General features: G+C 35.4%; 1 annotated feature.

Moving 5' to 3' along the window:
* Window positions 20,016-20,573: an enhancer, noted in NCBI's record as "NANOG hESC enhancer chr4:174963824-174964381 (GRCh37/hg19 assembly coordinates)". NCBI's record gives its function as "activates a minimal SCP1, AML or CMV promoter by ChIP-STARR-seq in naive H9 embryonic stem cells {active_cell/tissue: H9 hESC(naive)}" and the evidence as "EXISTENCE:reporter gene assay evidence [ECO:0000049][PMID:30033119]".

Here is a 21,357-nt window from a genome sequence, read left to right as displayed (position 1 = left end):
TATTAACAAACATTAAACTTTTGTAGTAATTAGGGAAATACAAATAACAACCACAAAGACATAATATTTCCCACTCCATCAGATTTGCAAAACCTTGAAATGTCTAACCCAAACAACTATTGGCAAGAATGTGAAGCAAACTGCTTTTATTTAGAGAGGTATGTAGTAATATCAAGCAGAGTTAAAGATGGTATGTATTTTATGACCCAGTAGTTTTATTTCTAGTGTATATATCCCAGAGAAACACATCTATATGTTTATAATGGAACATATCCAAGATGTTTATTACAGAAATATCTATGGTGGCAGCTTTTAAAACCTTCTGAAATGTCCATCTGTATAAGCAGATGGATAAGTAAATTTTGTTACATTTACATAAGGAAAAATCATACAGTAGATAAAACTCAAGTTTCTTGTATTAACATGGCTAAGTTTCAAAACATAACACTGAGGGAAAATTGATCCATCTAATATATCATTTATAAAATCCTTGAAACTTTTGTAAATGTGTGCAATAAAAGTATAGAATATTGCGGAGATATTCTCTATGCAACCATCAGCACAATCTAATTTTAAAACCATTTTTTTCACCTCAAAAAGAAACCCCATGTCCATTGGCAGTTGCTACCAATTCTCACTACATCCCAGCCCTAGGCAACCATGAACCCTACTTTTGGCTGTGTATTAGTCAAGGCTCTCCAGAGAAACAGAACCAATAGAATATATACAGATATGTAAGTGGATATTTATTCTGGAGACCAAGAAGTTCCATAATATGCTGTCTATAAGCTGGAGAACCAGAAAAGCCAGTGGTGTAATTTAGTCCAAATCCAAAGTCTTAAAAAACAGGGGAGCTGATGGTATAACTCCCAGTCTGAGGCCCAAAGCCTGAGGACCTGGGAAGCTGCTGGTTCAAGTCCCAGGCTCCAAAGGCCCAAGAACCAAAAGCTCCAATGTCCCAGGTCAGGAGAAGAGGGATGTTGTAGCTCAAAAACAGAGAAAGAAAAGTCACCTTCCCTCCACCTTTCTGTTGTACTGGGGCCCTTTGTGAATAGGATATCATCCCACATTGGTGAGGGTGAATCTTCTCTACTCAGTCCATTGACTCAAACTCTAATCTCTTTCAGAAGCACATGATAGGGTTTGGTATAGTTTGTCTTTGCCCAAAGCTCATGTTTAAATATAATCTCTAATGTTGGAGGTGAGCTCTGGTGGGAGGTGTTTGGGTCATGGGGGTATATCCTTCATGAATGGCGTGAGCCATTCCCTTGGTGATAAGTGAACTCTTGCTCTGAGTTCACAGGCCTGAGATCTGGTCATTTAAAAGTTTGTGGCACCTCCCCTAACTGCTCTCTACTTCTCTCTCTTGCCCCTGCTCTGACCATGTGATGTACCTCTCCCCCTTCACCTTCTGCCATGATTGTAAGCTTCCTGAGGCCTCCCCAGAAACAGACGTCACTATGCTTTCTACAGGCTGCAGAATCTTGAGTCAATTAAACCAAATAAATCACCAAGTCTTGAGTATTTATTTAAAAGAATTCCAGAATGGCCTAACACAAAAAAAAAATGGTACCAATTTCTGTTTGGAAAGGAGTGTAACATTGCTATAAAGATACCTGAAAATGTGCAAGAAGCTTTGGAACTGGATAATGGGCAGAGATGGGAAGAGTTTAGAAGGCTCAAAAGAAGACATGAAGCTGAGGGAAAGTTTGGAACTTATTAGGACTAGTTAAATAGTTGTGACCAAAATGCTAATAGCGATATGGACAGTGAAGGCCAGAGTGCTGAAGTCTCAGATGGAAATGAGGAACTTATTGGGAACTGAAACAAAGATCACATATGTTATGCCTTAGTAAAGGGCTTGGCTGCATTCTGTCCCTGTCCTGGGGATCTGTAGAAGTTTAAACGAAACAGTGATGATTTAGGGTATCTGGCAGAGGAAATTTCTAAGCCGCACAGTGCTCAAGAAGTGGCCTGGCTGCTTCTGACACTCAGCTGTGGTAGCAAAGGAATGACCTAAAGTTGAAATTTACATTTAAACAAGAAGCAGAGCACAAAAGTTTGGAAAATTTGGAGCCTGGCCATATGGCAGAGAAAGAAAAAGCTTTCTCAGGAGAGGAATTCAAGCAGGCTGTAAAGTCACCACTTGCTAGAGATATTTGTGTAACTAAAAAGGAGCCAAGTGCTAATAGCCAAGACAATGAGAAAAAGGCCTCAAAGGCATTTCAGAGACCTTCATGGCAGCCCCTCCTGTCACAGGTCCTGAGACCTATGAGGAATGAATGATCCTGTGGGACAGGCCCAGGGCCCCACTGCCCTAAACAGCCTTGAGGGCACTGCTCCCCAAATCCAGGCCACGCCAGCTCCAGCTCCAGCTGGGGCTCTAAGAGGGCCCAGGTACAGCTCAAGCTGCCACTTTGAAGAATGCAAGCTGTGAGCCTTGGTGGCTTACACATGGTGTTAAGCTTGCAGGCACCCAAAATATAAGACTGAATGAGGCTTGGCAGCCTTCACCTAGATTTCAGAGGATGTATGGAAAAGGCTGGGTGTTCAGGCAGAAGCCTGCTTCAGAAGCAGAACCCCCACAGACGACCCCTACTAGGGCAGTGCCAAGGGGAAATGTGAGATTGGAGCTCTCACACAGAGTCCTTACTGGGGCACTCCCTATTGAAGCTGTGAGAAGGGGGCCACTGCCATCCATACCCAAGAATGATAGATTCACTGGCAGCTTGCACCTTGTGCCTTAAAAAAGCACTGCACTCACTGCAGCCCATGAGAGTAGTCACGGGGCTTGCACCCTGAAAAGCCACAGAGATGGAGCTGCCCAATTCCTTGACAGTCCACCCCCTTGCACCAGTGTTACCTGGATGCAGGATATGGAGTCAAAGAATATTATTTTGGACTTTCACAATTTAATGACTGCCCTGCTGGGTTTCAAACTTGCATGGGACCTGTAGCCTCTTTCTTTTGGCTGATTTCTCCCATTTGAAAAAGGAGTATTTACCTAATGCCTATATTCCCATTGTATCTTGAGAGTGACTAATTTGGTTTGATTTTCCAGGCTCATAGATTTTCCTTATCTCAGATCTGACTTTGGACTTTTGAGTTAGTGCTGGACTGAGTTAAGACTTTGGGGGAATTATTGGGAAGGCATAATTGTGTTTTGCAATGTGAGAAGGACATGATATTTGGGAGGGGTCGGGGTGGAATAATATAGCTTGGGTATTGGTCCCCACCCAAATCTCATGTTGAAATGTAATTCTCAATGTTGGATGTGAGGCCTGGTGGGAGGTGTTTGGGTCATGTGGGTGGATTTGTCATGGATAGCTTTGGCCATTCTCTTGGTGATAAATGAGCTCTCACTTTGAGTTCACGTGAGATCTGGTCATTAAAATATGTGTGGCACCTCCTCCCACTATCTCTTCCTCCTTCTCTGGCCATATGATGTGCTTGCTTTCACTTCACATTCTTCCATGATTTTAAGTTTTCCAAGGCCTCCGCAGAAGCAGATGCTGCTATGCTTACTGCACAGCCCGCAGACCCTTAAGCCAATTAAACCTCTTTTTTAAAAAAGGTAAAATAAATAGCCCAGTCTCAGGTATTTTTTTTAAAGCAATGCAAGCATGGCCTAACACACCCCCTCATAGACATATCCAAAAATGTGTTTACCAGATATCTGGTCATTTCTTTACCCAGTCAAGTTGACACAAAAAATTAATCATGACATGTCTATATATTTGCCTTCTCAGACCACTTTAAATAAAAAGGATTGATGCAAAAACTGTTTGTTTTGTGACTGGTTTTTGGACTTTTCGACTTAGCATAAGATTTTTAAGGTTCATCTATGTTGCACATGTATCAGATTTTTATTCCTTTTGATTATACCATACTTTATTCATCCATTCAACAATTAATGGATATTTGGATTGTTTCTACTTTTTGCTTATTGTGAATAATGCTGCTATAAACATGTACAATTTTTCATGTACAATTTTTTTGTGGACATATGTTTCTATTTCTCCTGAGTATACACCCAGGAGTGAAATTTCTGGGTAATATGATAATTCTATGGCTAGTCTTCTAAGGAACTGCTGAACTATTTTCCATAGATGCTATATATGTCTTGTTATGTTTCCACCAGCAATGTATGAAGGTCCCAATTTCTTCATATCCTGTTGTTTTGATTAGTAATCTAGTGTTTTGGAAGTGGTATCTCATTGTGGTTTTGGTTTGCACTTCACAAATGACTAATAATGAACATCTGTTCATGTGATTATTGCCCATTTGTTATCTTTTTTTGAGAAATAACTGTTCAAATCCTTTGCCTATTTTTAAATTGAGTTATTTGCCTCTTTATTGTTGAGTTGTAAGAGTTCTTTATATGTTCTGGATAAAAGCTTTTTATCAAATACATAATTTGGAAATATTTTCTCCTCTCTTTTCACTTTCTTGATGTTATCCTCGGATGCACACACTTTTACAATTTTGAGGAAGCACACTTTATTTTTTCTTTAGGTCTATGATTCATTTTGAATTAATTTTTGTGGATGGTGTGAGGTAGGGGTTTATCTTTATTCATTTACATATGAATATCCAGTTGTTCCAGCACCTTTAGTTGAAAAGATTATTATTCTTTTCCCATTTTATTGTCTTGTCATTGGTGTTGAAAATGAAAGGATCATAAATGTGAAGGTTTACCCTCAATTCTATTCTATTGATCTGGATGTCTATTTATGTCAATATTTGCACTGTGTAGCTTTGTAGTAAGTTTTTTAAATCAGAAAGTGTGAATCCTCTAATGTTGCATTTTTTTTTCAAGATGGTTTTGGTTGTTTGATGTCTCTTGCATTTCTATACTAATTTTAGGGTTATTATATGAAAAGCCAGCTGGGATTTTTTATAGACATTTATGTTTAGTGTGTAGATCAATTTGCGGAGTATTGCACGTTAACAATATTGTCTTCTAATCCATGAACATGAATGTCTTTTCGTTTATTTATATATTCTTTAATTTCTTTTAACAATGCATAGCTTTTATAAAGTTCTTTCCAAGTATTTTATTATTTTTGATGCTACTACAAATACAATTGTTTTCTGAATTTATTTTCCAGATTGTTCATTGCTAGTGAAGAGAAATAAAACTGATTTTGGAATATTGATCTTGTATCCTGCAGCCCCTCTGACCTTATTTATTAATTTCAATAGGCTTTTAGTGGATTGCTCAAAATTTTTTATGTATAAGATTGGTTTATCTTCAAATAGCAGCAGTTTTATTTCTTCATTTCCATTCCAGATGCATTTATTTCTTTTTCTTACCAAATTGCCATAGCTAGAACCTCCATTACAGTGTAAGATAATATGGCAAAAGTAATACCCTTATCTTGTTCTTCTGTTATTGATTTCTAATTTTTTTCCATTGTGGTAAAATAACTTACTTTGTATGATTTTAATTTTTTAAATTTATTGAGGCTTGTTTTATGGCCTACCATATGATCTATTCTGACAAATGTTCCAAAGTGTACTTGAAAAGAATAGGTACAGTATTCTAGATGTCTATTAGGTATAACTGGCTTACAATGTTTTTCAAATCTTTCATACACTTATTAATCTTTTTTGTTCTATACATTTTTGAAAGTGTAATATTAAAATTTCCAGCTATAATTGTTGAATCATGCATTTCTTCTTTTAATTCTGTCAGCTTTTACTTCATGTATTCTGGTCCTCTGTAATTTTATAAATAAATAAATATATATATATTTTAAGATGACTATTTTATCATTATAAAATGTTCATGTTCATCTTTTTCACTAGTGACACTTTATTTTAGTTTATCTTGTCTGATATTAGCAAAGTAATTGCAATAAATATTATTTTCCTTTCTTTTTTAACTTTAAATCTATTTGTATCTTTGAATTTAAAATGTCTCGCCTGCTGGAAGAATTCCCCTTGAAAACTGGAACAAGACAAGGATGCCCTCTCTCACCTCTCCTATTCAATATAGTTATGGAAGTTCTAGCTAGAGCAATCAGGCAAGAGAAACAAATAAAAGGCATTCAAATTGAAATAGAGGAAGTAAAACTAACCGTGTTTGCAGATGATATGATGCTATGTATAGGAAACTCCATAGTCTTTACTTCAAAGCTCCTTGATCTGATAAACAACTTCAGAAAAGTTTCAGTATACAAAATTATTGTACAAAAATCACTAGCATTCCAACAGTCCAACAACAACCAAGCCAAGAGGCGAATCAGGAAGGCAATCCCATTCACAATTGACATAGAAAATATTTAGTAATACAACTAAAAAGGGAGGTAAAAGAACTCTAGACTGTGAATCACAAAATATTGCTTAAAGAAATGAGAGATAACACAAACAAATGGAAAAACACTTCATATTCATGTATTGGAAGAATCAGTATGATTGAAATGGCCATATGGCCAAAGGAATTTACAGACTCAATGCTATTCCTATCAAACTACCAATGACATTCTTCGCAGCACTAGAAAAAACTGTTTAAAAATTCATATGGAACCAAAAAAGAGCCCGAATAGCCAAGGCAATTCTAAGCAAAAAGAACAAAGCTGGAGGCATTATGTTACCCATGTTCAAACTATACTACAAGGCTACAATAACCAAAACAGCATAGTACTGGTACAAAAACAGATGTTTTGCAGCATTATTCACAATAGCAAATGCATGGAATTAACCTAAATGCACATCAACAGTAGACCAATGGAACAGAATAGAGAGCCCAGAAATAGAGCTGCACTCCTACAACTATCTGATATTTGACAAAATAGACAAAAGCAAACAATAGGGAAAGGACTCCCTATTCAATCAATGGTGCTAAGATAAGTGGCTAGCCCTATGCAGAAGATCGAAACTAGACCCCTTTCTTACACCATATAAAAAACTCAAGATGGATTAGAGACTTAAACATAAAACCTAAAACTATAACAACCCTGGAAGATAACTTAGAGAATACCATCTGGACATAGGACTTGTCAAGGATTTCATGATGGAGACCCCAAAAGCAATTGCAATAAAACCACAGTTGATAATTGTAACCTAATTAAACTAAACAGCTTCTGCACAGCAAATGAAACTGTCAACAGAGTAAACAGACTATAGAATGCAAGAAAATATTTGCAAACCATGCGTCTGATAAAAGTCTAATATCCAGCATCTATAAGGAACTTAAATCTATAAACAAAAAACAAACAACCCCATTAAAAAGTGGGCAAAGGACATGAACAGACGATTTTTAAAAGAAGACATGCAGCCAACAAGCATATGAAAAAAACGCTCAATATCACTAATCATTAGAGAAATGCAAATCAAAACCACAATGAGATACCATCTCACACAAGTCAAAAAGGCTATTGTTAAAAAGCCAAAAACTAACAGATGCTGGTGAGGTTGTAGATAAAAGGAAATGCTTATACACTGCTGTGGGAATGTAAATTAGTTCAGCCATTGTGGAAAAAAGTTTGGTGATTTCTCAAAGAACTTAAAACAGAACTACCATTTGACCCAGCAGTCCCATTACTGGAAGAAAATGTTCTACCATAAAGACACCTGCACACATACGTTCATTGCAGCATTATTCACAATAGCAAATGCATGGAATCAACCTAAATACACATCAACAATAGACTGGGTTAAAAAAATGTGGTACATATACACCACAGAATACTATACAGCCATAAAAAATAATTACATCATGTTCTTTGCAGCAACATGGATGAAACTGGAGGCCATTATCCTAAAAAACTAACACAGTAACAGAAAACCAAATACTACATGTTGTCACTTATAAGTGGGAACTAAACACTGAGCATACGTGGACACAAAGAAGGGAAGAACAGATACCACGGTTTGCGTGAGGGTGGAAGGTGGGAGGAAATGAGGCTTGAAAAACTACATATTAAGTACTATGCTGATTATGTGAGTGATGAAGTAATCTGTATGCCAAATTCCTGTGACATACAATTTAGCTATATAACAAACCTGCACATGTACCCCTGAACCCAAAATAAAAGTGGAAAATAGATAGATAAATAAATAAATAGAATGTGTCTCCTTTAGACAGCATATATTTGGATCTGGATTTTCCCTCCAGTCTGACAATTTCTACCTTTTGATTGGATTGTTAATACATTCACTTTAATGTTATTATTGGTATGATTGAATTTTTGTTTTTTGTTTCCTCTACATCTCATATTTTTTCTTTGTTCCTGCTTTACTGCCATCTTTTGTATTAACTGAATATTTTCTAGTGTACCATTTAATTTCTTTAATGATTTTAAAATACATTTTTAAAAAAATTTAATGGTCATTCCAAGAGTACAAAAACATCTTATCGGAATCTACTTCTGATTTACACTAACTTAATCATAGGAAAATGCAATTTACTCTTATCAAATTTTATTTCCTTCCCTCATTTCTGCTACTATTTTTGTACATTTTAAGTCTATATGTGTAACCTATCCAAAAATTTAGTTATAATTTTTACTAGAATTTTATATATTTTGAGAGAAGAAAGGAAGACAATTATATATTTATGGAATTTGTTACATTATTTTGCATTTTATTTGCAATTTCTAGTTCCCTTAATTTCTCCTTGTGAATTCTAGTTGCCATCTGGTGTCATTTTTGTGCTGTGACACAGCTTTGTTTTTATCCATGTCTCTTTTGCTGTGGTTGCCAAGTGCATTACATTTTTTATAAGTCCAATAATAGTTGTATACATATTGTCTTATAAAATTTATTTTTAAATGAATTGATTCATAAAGAAAAGAAATATGCAATATACTTTTACAATTATTTTATAATTACCTTTACCAACACTCATTTACATTTCATATAAACCTTACACACTTGCCTGAATTTAGTTTTATATAACATTTTAAATAATTTTGCATATAAAACAAAGTCGTGACTGGCCTATCACGTGAGGTTAGGTGTGAATTTTTCTATAGGTGGCATTATGTTGGTGCTCAAAGTTTCAGATTTTGGAGCATTTTGGATTTCAGGTTTTTGAATTAGAAATGATCAGCTGGTATCAGCCACCTCTTAACTGCTCAGCATCAATATCTTCATTGTTTTCCACAATACCTTTTGGCACGGACTTCCTCATACTCTGTTCCAAGTATAGTCAGTTCTCTTAAGCACAGTTGTGGCATTGTTTGTTCTTATAATCTGTTGTTCCCCTTAGGCACAGACTCTGGAACTCTGGCCAAGAAGAGACCCACTTCTCTCAGAGTAAAACCCCTGCTCTATGAACAGAGCTTTGGGTGGGAACAGTAGACCCTGGTCTTTCTTTTATTATTATTATTATTATTTTTTGAGATGGAGTGTTGTTCTGTTGCCCAGGCTGGAGTGCAGTGGCACTATCTCCACTCACCATAACCTCCGCCTCCTGGGTTCAAGAGATTCTCCTGCCTCAACCTCCCCCAAGTAGCTGGGACTACAGGCGAGAGCTACCACGCCTAGCTAATTTTTGTATTTTTAGTAGAGACGAGGTTTCACCATATTGGCCAGGCTGTTCTTGAACTCTTGACCCCAGGTGATCCACCCTCCTCAGCCTCCCCAAGTGCTGGGATTACAGATGTTAGCCACCATGCCCTGTCTACCCTGGTCTTCTTAAATTGCTCCTACTAGTATGGAATCTTTACACGTGAGTTTATTTTATTTTAATTTTATTTTTATAAAAATACTTTTGTAGCATTCATTGACTTTTCAAAATTTTCAACTTTTATTTTAGGTTGGGTAGTACATACGCAGGTTTGTTACATGAGTATATTGTGTGTCACTGAGGTTTGAGGTACAAATGATCCCGTCACCCAGGTAGTCAACATAGTACCCAATAGGTAGTTTTTCAGCCTTTGCCTCTCTCTCTCGACCCTCTCTAGCTCCAGTGTTTGTTCCCATCTTTATGTCCCTGAGTACCCAATGTTTAGCTCCCACTTATACCTAAGAACATACAGTACTGGTTTTCTGTTTCTGCATTAATTTGCTTAGAATAGTTGCCTCCAGCTCCATCCATGACCCCGCAAAGGACATAATCTAGTTCTTTTTTATGGCTGCACAGTGTTGCATGGTGTATATGTAGCACTTTTTTAACAAAATCTAATCCATCACTGATGGGCACATTTGTTGTTTCCATACCTTTGCTATTGTGAATAGTGCTGCAATTAACATGTGAGTGCCTGTGTATTTATGGCAGAACAATTTATTTTCCCTTGGGTATATACCCAGCAATAGGATTCCTGGGTCAAATGGTAGTTCTGTTTTACGTTCTTCGAAAAATCTTCAAACTACTTTCCACAATGGCTAAACTAATTTACGTTCCCACCATCCACATGTAAGTGTTCCTTTTTCTCCATAGCCTTGTCAGTATCTGTTATTTTTTCACTCTTTAATAATAGCCATTGTGACTGGTGTGAGATGGTGTCTCACTATGGTTTTGATTTGCATTTCACTATTGATTAGTGATGCAGAGCATTTTTTTCATATGCTTATTGGCTGAATTTATATCTTCTTTTGAGAAGTGTCTGTTCATGTCCTTTGCTCACGTTTTAATGGGGTTGTTTTTCGCTTGTTGAATTGTTTAATTTCCTTATAGATGCTGGATAAATTGGACCTTTGTCTATGCATAGCTTGTGGATATTTGTGAATATTTTCTCTCATTTACAAGTGAGTTTTGATGGAAGCATTTAAGGCCTTGTATTCTCAGCCTACGCTCCTTCTGGTAGAGCTTCTCTGTTAGTGGGGGTTGAGAGGAGGAAGGGAGATAGATTCTTTCAGCCATGTCTGTCTGGAATATTGCTTCTGAAATATGGAACAGAAGATAGGGATGAAAAATGCTAGTGGTCTGTCCCTCCCAGCATGAAACCATATCTCTGTGTGGGAAGCAAGGTGGAGAGAGACCCCTACCTTCTTGGCTGCACATGCCAAGAGTAAAACTGTTAACACACTGAGCTGGAGGAAGGAGTTATGAGTGGGTCATGGCTCAAATGCCACAGATTCTCACTGATCATATTAAGATTTATTAAATCTTTTTGAATATATGTTTCTTCATTTGCTATTTGAAGAAGATTTCTCCTTGGCAAATTTACAGAAACTTTAAATATTTGTTTTAAAATAATTTTTAGCCGGTAAATTTTTTGTTCTTGGGAAATTATGTGTCATACTCTCACACCATCATTTCTGAAATGAATTTTACTACAGTTTTTAGATAAGTTTGTTTTGTCTGGTTAGAAAACTGTTCCTGTAGTTTTGACTCAGAACTTTAAAAAGTCAGTAATGAATGTGATTTGAGGATCAATGTTATATTAGTTTTATAAAAAGGGGTCCAGTTTCAATTTTCTGCATATGGCTAGCCAGTTTTCCCAACATCACTTATTACGTAGGGAATCCTTTCCCCATTTCCTGTTTTTGTCCAGTTTGTCAAAGATCAGATGGTTGTAGATGGGTGGCATTATTTCTGAGGCCTCTGTTCTGTTCCATTGGTCTATATATCTGTTTTGGTACTAGTACCATGCTCTTTTGTTTACTGTAGCCTTGTAGTACAGTTTGAAGTCAGGTAGCATGATGCCTCCAGCTTTGTTCTTTTTTCTTAGGATTGTCTTGGCTATATGGGCTCTTTTTTGGTTCCATGTGAAATTTAAAGTAGTTTTTTCTAATTTTGTGAAGAAAGTCAATGGAAGCTTGATGGGGATAGCATTGAATCTATAAATCACTTTGAGCAGTATGGCCATTCACACAATATTGATTCTTCCTATCCATGAGCATGGAGTGTTTTTCCATTTGTTTGTGTCCTCTCTTATTTCCTTGAGCAGTGGTTTGTAGTTCTCCTTGAAGAGGTCCTTCATGCCCCTTGTTAGCTGTATTCCTATTTATTTTATTCTCTTTGTAGCAACTGTGAATTGGAGATCATTCACAATTTGGCTTTCTGCTTGTCTATTGGTGTATAGGAATTCTTGTGATTTTGCACATGATTTCATAGATGAACTCATGAAGGTGAGAAAGAATCAATGGAAAAATGCTGAAAACCCAAAAGGCCAGAGTGCCTTTTCTCCTCCAAATGATAGCAACAACTTTTCAGCAAGGGCACAAAACTGGATGGAGGATGAGATGGATGAATCGACAGAAGTAGGCTTCAGAAGGTGGATAATAACAAACCTCATTGAGGTAAAGGAGTATGTTCTAACACAATGCAAAGAGGCTAAGAAACTTGATAAAGTTTAGAGGAGTGGCTAACTAGAATAACCCATTTAGAGAGGAACATAAATGACCTGATGGAGCTGAAAACACAGCACAAGAACTTTGTGAAGCATACACAAGTATGAATAGCCAAATCGATCAAGGGGAAGAAAGAATATAAAAAATGGAAGACTATCTTGCTGAAATAAGACAATTGGACAAAATTAGAGAGAAAAGAATGAAAAGGAATGGACAAAAAACCTCTGAGAAACATGGGACTATGTAAAAAGAACGAAACTATGACGGATTGGAGTACCTGAAAGAGATGGGGAGAATGGAATCAAGTTGGAAAACACACTTCAAGATATTATCCAGGAGAACTTCCCCAACCTAGCAAGGCAGGCCAACATTCAAATTCAGGAAATACAGAGAACTGGACCCCTTCCTTACGCCTTATACAAAAATTAACTCAAGATGCATTACAGACTTAAACGTAAGACCTAAAACCATAAAAACCCTAGAAGAACTCCTAGGCAATACAATTCAGGACATAGGCATTGGCAATGACTATGACTAAAACACCAAAAGCAATGGCAACAAAAGCCAAAATTGACAAATGGGATCTAATTAAACTAAAAACGGCTTCTGCACAGCGAAAGAAACTATCCTATAATCAGAGTGAACAGGCAATCTACAGAATAGGAGAAAATGTTTGCAATCTATCCATCTGACAAAGGGCTAATATCTAGAATCTACAAAGAACTTAAACAAATTTACAAGAAAAAAAACAAAAACCCCATCCAAAAGTAGGTAAAGGATATGAAGAGACACTTCTCAAAAGAAGACATATATGCAGCCAACAAACATATGAAAAAAAACTCATCATCTCTGGTCATTAGAGAAATGCAAATCAAAACCACAATGAGATACCATCTCACACCAGTTGGAATGGTGATCATTAAAAAGTCAGGAAACAACAGATGCTGGAGAGGATGTGGAGAAATAAGAATGCTTTTAGACTGTTGGTGGGAGTGTAAACTAGTTCAACCATTATGGAAGACTGTGTGGCGATTCCTCAAGGATCTACAACCAGGAATACCATTTGACCAGGCAATCCCATTACTGGATATATACCCCCAAAATTATAAATCATTCTACTATAAAGACACACCCACTCATATGTTTATTGCAGCAGTATTCACAATAGCAAAGAAATAAATGAAATTGAAAATAGGAAATCAATAGAGAAAAATCAATGAAACCAAAAGTTGTTTTTTTAAAAGATCAATAAAATTGATAGGCCTCTAGCCAGCCTAACCGAGAAAAAAGAATACAAATCATTCATAGCTGAAATGAAAGATAGGGTATCATTACAGGTTCTATAGTGATTAACAAAATAATACAGTAATATTATGGATAACTCTATGCCTACAAATTTTATAACATAAATAATATAGACTAATTTGTTGAAACACACAACCTGCCAAAACTCACCCTAGGAGAAATAGACAATCCGAGTGGGCCTATATCTGTTAAATAAATTGAACTTAATTAATAATTAATACTGAATAATTTTCCAAAACAGAAAGCACCAGGCCAGATGGGCTCACTGGTGAATTCTACTAACGATTTTAGGAGGAATTGTACTAATTCTATATAATTTCTTTCAAGAGATAGAAGTAGAGGAAATATTTCCTAACTTAATCTATAGGCCAGCATTATACTAATACACAAAGTAGGCAAAAATATTATTAGAAAACTACAGACCAATTTCTCTCATGAACATAATGCAAAAATCCTTAATAAAATATTAGCAAATTGAATCCAACAATGTATAAAAAGAATTATATATCACAACTAAGTGGGATTTATCCCAAGTATGCAAGGCTGATTTAATATTCAAAAATCAATTAATATAATCTACCACATCAATAGGATAAAGAAGAAAATCACTTGACCATATTAGTAGATGCAGCAAAATCATTTGGCAAAATCCAGCACCTATTAATGATAAAAACTCTCAGTAAACAAAGAACGGGGGGGATCTTTCTCAACTTAATACAAAATATCTACAAAATACCTACAACTAACATCATATTTAATAGTGAGAAACTTGAAGATTTTTCACTAAGATCAGAAACAAGGCAAGAACGTCTCACCACTGCTTTTCAACATCATATTAGAAGTCCTAGTTAATAATCCTAGTCAATAAAACAAGAAAAAGAAACTTGTAATCAAATGCGGTCCAAAAATATTATACATTGAGGGAGAGAGAGAGCACACATTCATATAATTTTTATTACACTATATTGTTATAATTGTTCTTTTATTACTAGTTATTGTTAACCTCTTACTGTGCCTAATTCATAAGTTAAACTTTATCATAGGTATGTACATACAGATAAAACATATTACCTGTAGGGTTAGGTATATCCAGGCTTTCAGGCATCCACTACTGTACATGGGACACCTCTGTACTTTTCATCCAATTTTGCTTTGAACCTAGAATTGCTCTGAAAAACTAAAATCTATTTTTAAAAAAGTCATGTTACCCACTTTTGAAAATGTTTCAAATTGCTGAAATAAATATACCTTTTCCACTTATTGGCTTCAAGGTGCTTTTGTTATTTTTGTTGTTTAAATCATTTATGTCTTATTTTGTCAATTTGTGGGTATAATAAAAACTCTCACTGTGACTATGAACTTGTCAATTTCTCCTTGCAATTCTGACAATTTTTCTTTAAGTAGAAATCTATTTTGGATGATAACATTGTGATTTATTTTTCTTTTTAAAATAATGGAATGCCACTATTCATAGTAATAATTTTTTCATTTTAAGCTTATTTTGTCTGATATTAACATTGCTGTATCAAACTCATCTAATATCTGCATAATATATTTTTCATCACTATATTTGCAAATTTTCTCTGCAGTTTTGTTTTAGTTGCAATTGTGTGTGTATGTACATGTATTCAAGTGTGTGTGTTTTGTAAACATCATGCAGTGGATTTAAAAAAATCCATCTGCTAATCTCTTACGGTATGCCAGATTAATTTACTTGAATTGCTTATATATTTGGACTTCATTGCATCAATTTACATAAACTTCATTATATCAACATCATTATGAATTTATTATATTGACTTCATTATATCATTTAATATATCAACTTGTATCTGTTTATCAATCATTTGCTGCTTCTCTCCCCTCCTTTCCTGCTGTATTAGTTTGCTAGTGTTACCATAACAAAATAACACAGGCTGTGGAGCTTAAACAACCCAAATTTATTTTCTCACAGTTATGGAGGGTAGAAGCCCAAAAGTAAGATGTTAGCTGGTTTGATTTCCTCTGAGGCATATCTCTGTGGTTTGCAGATGGCCACCTTCTCCCTGTGTCCTCACATGATCTTTCCTCTGTGTGTGTGCATTTCTGATATCTCTCTTGCTTGTCCAAGTTTTCTCTTTTTATAAGGGCACCAGTCACACTGCATTAGGACCCCGCTCCCATGATCTCATTTTAACTTAATTAGGGCCCCACCCACACGACCTTATTTTAACTTAATCGGCTCTTCAAAGGCTTTATCTGCAAATACAGTCACATTCTGAGGTACTGTGGCTTAGGTCTTCCGCATATGAATTTTGGGAATCAAAATTTATCTGATAATACCTGACTTATGTTTGCTTGACAGTGTTATACTCAGTTATTTTTTCTGTGTTTGGAAGTTATTGATTGCATTTAATGGGCACACACAAGATTATAAACTTTTCTAACAAGTTAAACAATGCAAAATGTCTCTTATTTGTTCCTTCCTTCAAGATTTACTTTTCATTTTGCTGTTTTGTTCTTTTAAGAAAAAGCCTGTGGTAGATACTTTCCTTTATCCTATTTCAGAAAATATATGGATGTACCTTTAATCTCCAAAGACAGACAACCAGGATAACAGTTTTTAATTGAAGAACTCTATTTTCTTACATCCTTAAACATATTATTGTGTTGTCTTCTGGCATCTATTGATACTGGTGCAATTTGTTTTCCTCCTAACAGTATTTTTTTTTCTATGTGATGGCTTTTAGGATTTTTCTTTTTACCTTTTTGTTTCTACATTTTTACTATAATATGTTTTAATGTACTTATTTTTATTTATCTTGCTTATAGTTCGAGTACATTTGCAGTCATATAATTCATTATTTTATCTATTTCCTTCACTTGGAAAATTTTCAGAGACTGTAAATTATAATGTTGTTTCATACAATTCACTCCATTATACTTTCAAAAACATATAATAGGCACCTATTGCAGCTCTCCATGTCACTTAACTTTTCTATTAAATGTATGTTTATGTATTTTCACCTTTTCTATCTCTCTGAACTAAGTTCTGTGCTTTCACTGAAGTACCATCTAATTCTTTTACTGTGTCCAGTCTAATATTTATCTATACTATTGAGTCATTTCCATTATAATCTTTTATTTCTGTTATTTTGAATTTTATATGTGACTTTTTATTTTTTCCTCATTTCTTTTCTTCTTTTTCTGATTTTTTCTTTCACAAATTTTCCTGTGGTTTCTTTTTTTTTTTTGAAAATTGCATTTTATTTTATTTTTTATTTTTATTTATTTTTTATTATACTTTAAGTTTTAGGGTACATGTGCACAACGTGCATGTTTGTTACATATGTATACATGTGCCATGTTGCTTTGCTGCACCCATTAAGTCATCATTTACATTAGGTATTTCTCCTAATGCTATCTCTCCCCCATCCCCCCACCTCACGACAGGCCCCATTGTGTGATGTTCCCCGCCCTGTCTCCAAGTGTTCTCATTGTTCAATTCCCACCTATGAGTGGGAACATGTGATGTTTGGTTTTCTGCCCTTGTGATAGTTTGCTCAGAATGATGGCTTCCAGCTTCATCCATGTCGCTAAGAAGGACATAAACTCATCCTTTACATGTACCCTAAAACTTAAAGTATAATAAAAAAAAATTTTTAAAAAAACCCCACTCATCCTTTTTTATGGCTGCATAGTATTCCACGGTGTATATGTGCCACATTTTCTTAATCCAGTCTATCATTGATGGTCATCTTGTGGTTTATTTTCTTGTATGTATTTGGAAAGCTTAAATGTACTTAAATCATCTTTTTATGTGATACTATTTTAATTTTTTGTAAAATGAATTTATATTGTTTGTCAACTGTCTTCCCAATCAAAGGATTTCTTTGTGTGTTTTGGAGTTGAAAAACGAAGGAAAATTTGCAGTGTACTCTTTTTCTTTTTCTCCCTGTCTTTTCCTCCCTTTGTAGAGTTAGGTGGCTGCCTCCATATGGTATAGCATCCTGCTTTATATCATTAGGTTAGCATCCCTAGTCATTAGTGATACCAGGGATATATATGTCAAATCGCCAAGGTCAAAGGTGAATGGTCTTGGTTCTTGTCCTGTCCTGACAACATCTGTATTCTCAAGGTCCTCCTACATCTTCTAGTCTCATATCTTCCAATCAGTCTTGATTCCTAAGTGGCTTACTGGGGCTTTTATTCACTTATAGCAAAGCTACACCAAAACCTAATTTTAAGTACATTTTAGACCCTGTTCCCTTCTAGCTGCTACTGGCTGCTGCTAGCCCAGGCCTCAGCCTGACCCACAGCTTTGTGCTTTGGCTATGATTTTAATCAATTTCTGCAATAGTCTGAATGTTGGTGTTCTCTTCAGATTCATACATTGAAACTTAATGCTCAATATGATGGTATTAAGGAATGTGACCTTTTGGGAAGTTATTGTTATAAGGGCTCTGCCCTCATGAATGAGATTAGTTCTGTAAAAGGGGCTTGAGAAAGACTGTTTGCTCCTTTCACCATGTGAAGACACATAGAAGCCATCATCTACGGGGAATGAGTCCTCACCAGACACTGAATCTGCTGGCACCTTTGTCTTGGATTTTTCAGCCTCCAGACTGTGTGATCAAAAAAATTATATTTGTAATGTACGCAGTCTAACGTATTTTTTTATGGCAACCAAAATTATGGATGATTGTCTTGCTTTTGATTCCTTCTTTAACCTTCTAGGAGAGGGTCTTAGTTTTTATATTTTCTATTATTTCTATGTGTCCAGTGAGCGGGATATGATTCACAACTTACCCTGTGGTCTTGACTGGAAGCCTTTCTTGATCTTCTTAAGGAAACTGCTTGTATTTGACCTTCAGCTCCTTAACTAGGAAAATAACTCCTTATTTTTTAAGATATTTGCAAGGCTTATTTTACTTACCCATGTAAATGTATATATATTTGCTATAAATATATTCAAAAATTGGAATTAGGACATGTCGGTTTTTATTTTATATGCATAGCAAAACATTATTAAATTAAATTGATAATAGGCTATCTGCAAGCATGGTACCAGGAAGTTTTATTACTGGGTGGGATCATTCCACTTAATATAGGTCTTGGGAAAATTTAGATGTAAATATAGTTGCTGGGAGAGAGATATAGAAACTTCTCTGAATCAGTTTTTATGGATAATGTTCTAGTAGAATGAGAATGCTGTATTATATGACTTTCTATTTGGATTGGTAAAGAGGACCAAATCAAGGAAGAACATTTAAGTTTACATATATTCATTACTGAGAACACACAGGGAAATTCCTATATCTGTGTGCATAAATTTTCTTTAGACCAATGCATACTAAATTTAATCTAAATGATTAAAAATATGAAATTTATCAGTAGTATTCACTATAATTAAAGTAAGAACTTGAACTAATACCTAACCACACCAAATATTTTATAATACAAATTATTTTGAAGATAGTAGTAGATTATTTTCCACTCTGCTGTCTGTACCCCTTCTTCCAAAGGTCAGCATGTTGAAATATACATAAATGAAATCCACTTTTGAATAAATTGGTAATAGTTGTATTTTATTGAGCAGTTACTATGTGCAAGCCTCCATTTAATTCCTTAAGTGTATTTTCTTATTAAAACCTCACATCCATGTTAAGGAACAGGTGTTATGATTATTCCTTTGTAACTGATGAGGATACTGGGTAACAGGAAAGTGAAGTTGCTTGAGTATGCAAAACTAATAATTAAGGTTGGGCTAGGGATGCAGTGCGAGGACATCTGACTCTAGCACCTACCTTCTGAAACACTGACCTCCAATATCAACACTGAGGTTTTCCTAGGAGAAAAAGGTACATGAATTTTTCAAGACGTGCTTTTCAACAGTTTTTTGAATAAACAAAAGATAATTAAGGGCATAGCATAGAATTGTCATTATATATTTAAGATTAAATAGGTATAAAAACTTTAAAGACTTTGTCCTTTGAGACAAAGGCAAGACAGATGTGAGAATAACAAGAAGAATTTACCAAATGGAAATTTAAAAAGCCAAAGTATGAAAACTGCAGTAATAAACAATTGGTAAACAGAGAGATTTGGGGCATGTCATGTTAATAAGGAAAGACTTCTTGATGGAAGTAGGAGTTCGAGATGAAAGGGCAAGAATTACAATGTGTAGAATGGAATGGAAGAGGCTATGACATGTGTAAGTTGAAATCTAGGGAATGCTCAGAAGGAGTTCTGCCAAGCCCTTAGAGACCAACAAATTGGGCCATGATCGGAGAAAAAGTCACACCCTAAATTGTTTCAGGGAAGACTTAATGTTATATTAGAATGAGGACTGAATGAAGTGGCTTATACAGCCCATTTTGGGGAGATATAAGCCTGAAAGCCATTGAAAAGAGTTTCAGAATGGAGATGATGTGGTATGAATGATGAACATGGGGTAATTATGTTGGTGGCACTTTGGGGAACGTTACTGAGAGATGAAGCTGTTTAGTGGACCTCTAAGGGAGTGGGAAATGTGAGAAACGTTTTATACATAGAAATGTATTGCCTTTCTGTAAATGATATATATTTAAAAAAAAAAAAAGAAGGAGGTCCAGAGACTCAAGAGAATGTTTGTCACTGGCACTGTTGGAGAAGTAAGGCAGCATAAAATAAAACACTGAACCGAGTTGTCAAAGTAGACTTCTGGAGTCATGGGATACATCTAGATGGAAATTTTACATATACAATAGCAGATTCTAGAGTACCCTAATGGTCTTAAGTACAGGTTAAGAAAGACCTAGATGCAACCTGCATGACAATGGAAACAGGTCAGTTACAGTAATCCAGGGAGGACAGAGGAAGAAGAAAACTAACTACTAGATATCCACAAGAGAACTGTCAGTGAGAGAAGGGATTGGGGAAAATTAGAAGAGGGTAATTCCTCTGAATTTTACCTCCTTCTGTTATTAGGTTATATGTCAAATTTTTAGGTTTGTATTAAAATAAATATTTTAATTTCAGCAGATATCCACTAGAAACTGATAAAATATACATTTTTTTCTGATTTTATACTACCTGAAAAAATGAATCATAAACTTTTCAATGTAGCAATTTATCTAAGAGAAAACAGATAAAGTACCTCAACAAAAGTTGAAATTAAAAGTTTTTATCTAATATTTTATTTCTTAAGGTGTAATTGAGTTAGGTTTTAAACGACTGTGTTAAAATATATTAAAATAATGAGGAAATGATTTTACAAAGATTGAATAAGAGCTAATACCTTCATTATGTTTCAATGAATTTGATACATTAGGGAAACGAGGATACTTGTTTCTTTTCAGTTCCTCCTCCATCCTCTTCCCCCAGAAGTGTTTATATGTTAGGAAGAAGCACCACAGCTAGGGATACTTAGTTTGGTCTTTGGGATCAGTTCCCAGATAATAACACTGTGCCCCAGAGACCTGAGAAAAGAACAGTACATATGAAACTCTGAGTTCTAATTGAAGCCTCATCATTCACTCCCATTCTGATTCCTTGAGCAAATTACTTAACCCATCTCTGGGTCTCTGCGTCGCACATGAGGAATGATGCCTGCTTTAAACAATGTGGTAAGTATTAGCAATTTAACGATGGCATAATGCCTCGAAAATACAAAGCTAGACTATATAAATTAAGGTTAAGTAAGAACGTAGAAAACAAAGAAAGAAACAAGCTTAGGAGTACGTGAAGAATAATTCCCAGAAAATCCCCTCGAGAGGCCAGGGCTCCCTGCAGGGCCTTGTTTTGCACAGCAGCTAAGTCAATAGACCACCCTTCATAGGTAAAAGA

This window comes from Homo sapiens, chromosome 4 (genome assembly GCF_000001405.40).
Source record: "Homo sapiens chromosome 4, GRCh38.p14 Primary Assembly".
NCBI classification, from domain to species: Eukaryota; Metazoa; Chordata; class Mammalia; order Primates; family Hominidae; genus Homo; species Homo sapiens.
This window is presented reverse-complemented; position numbering and strand designations above follow the sequence as displayed.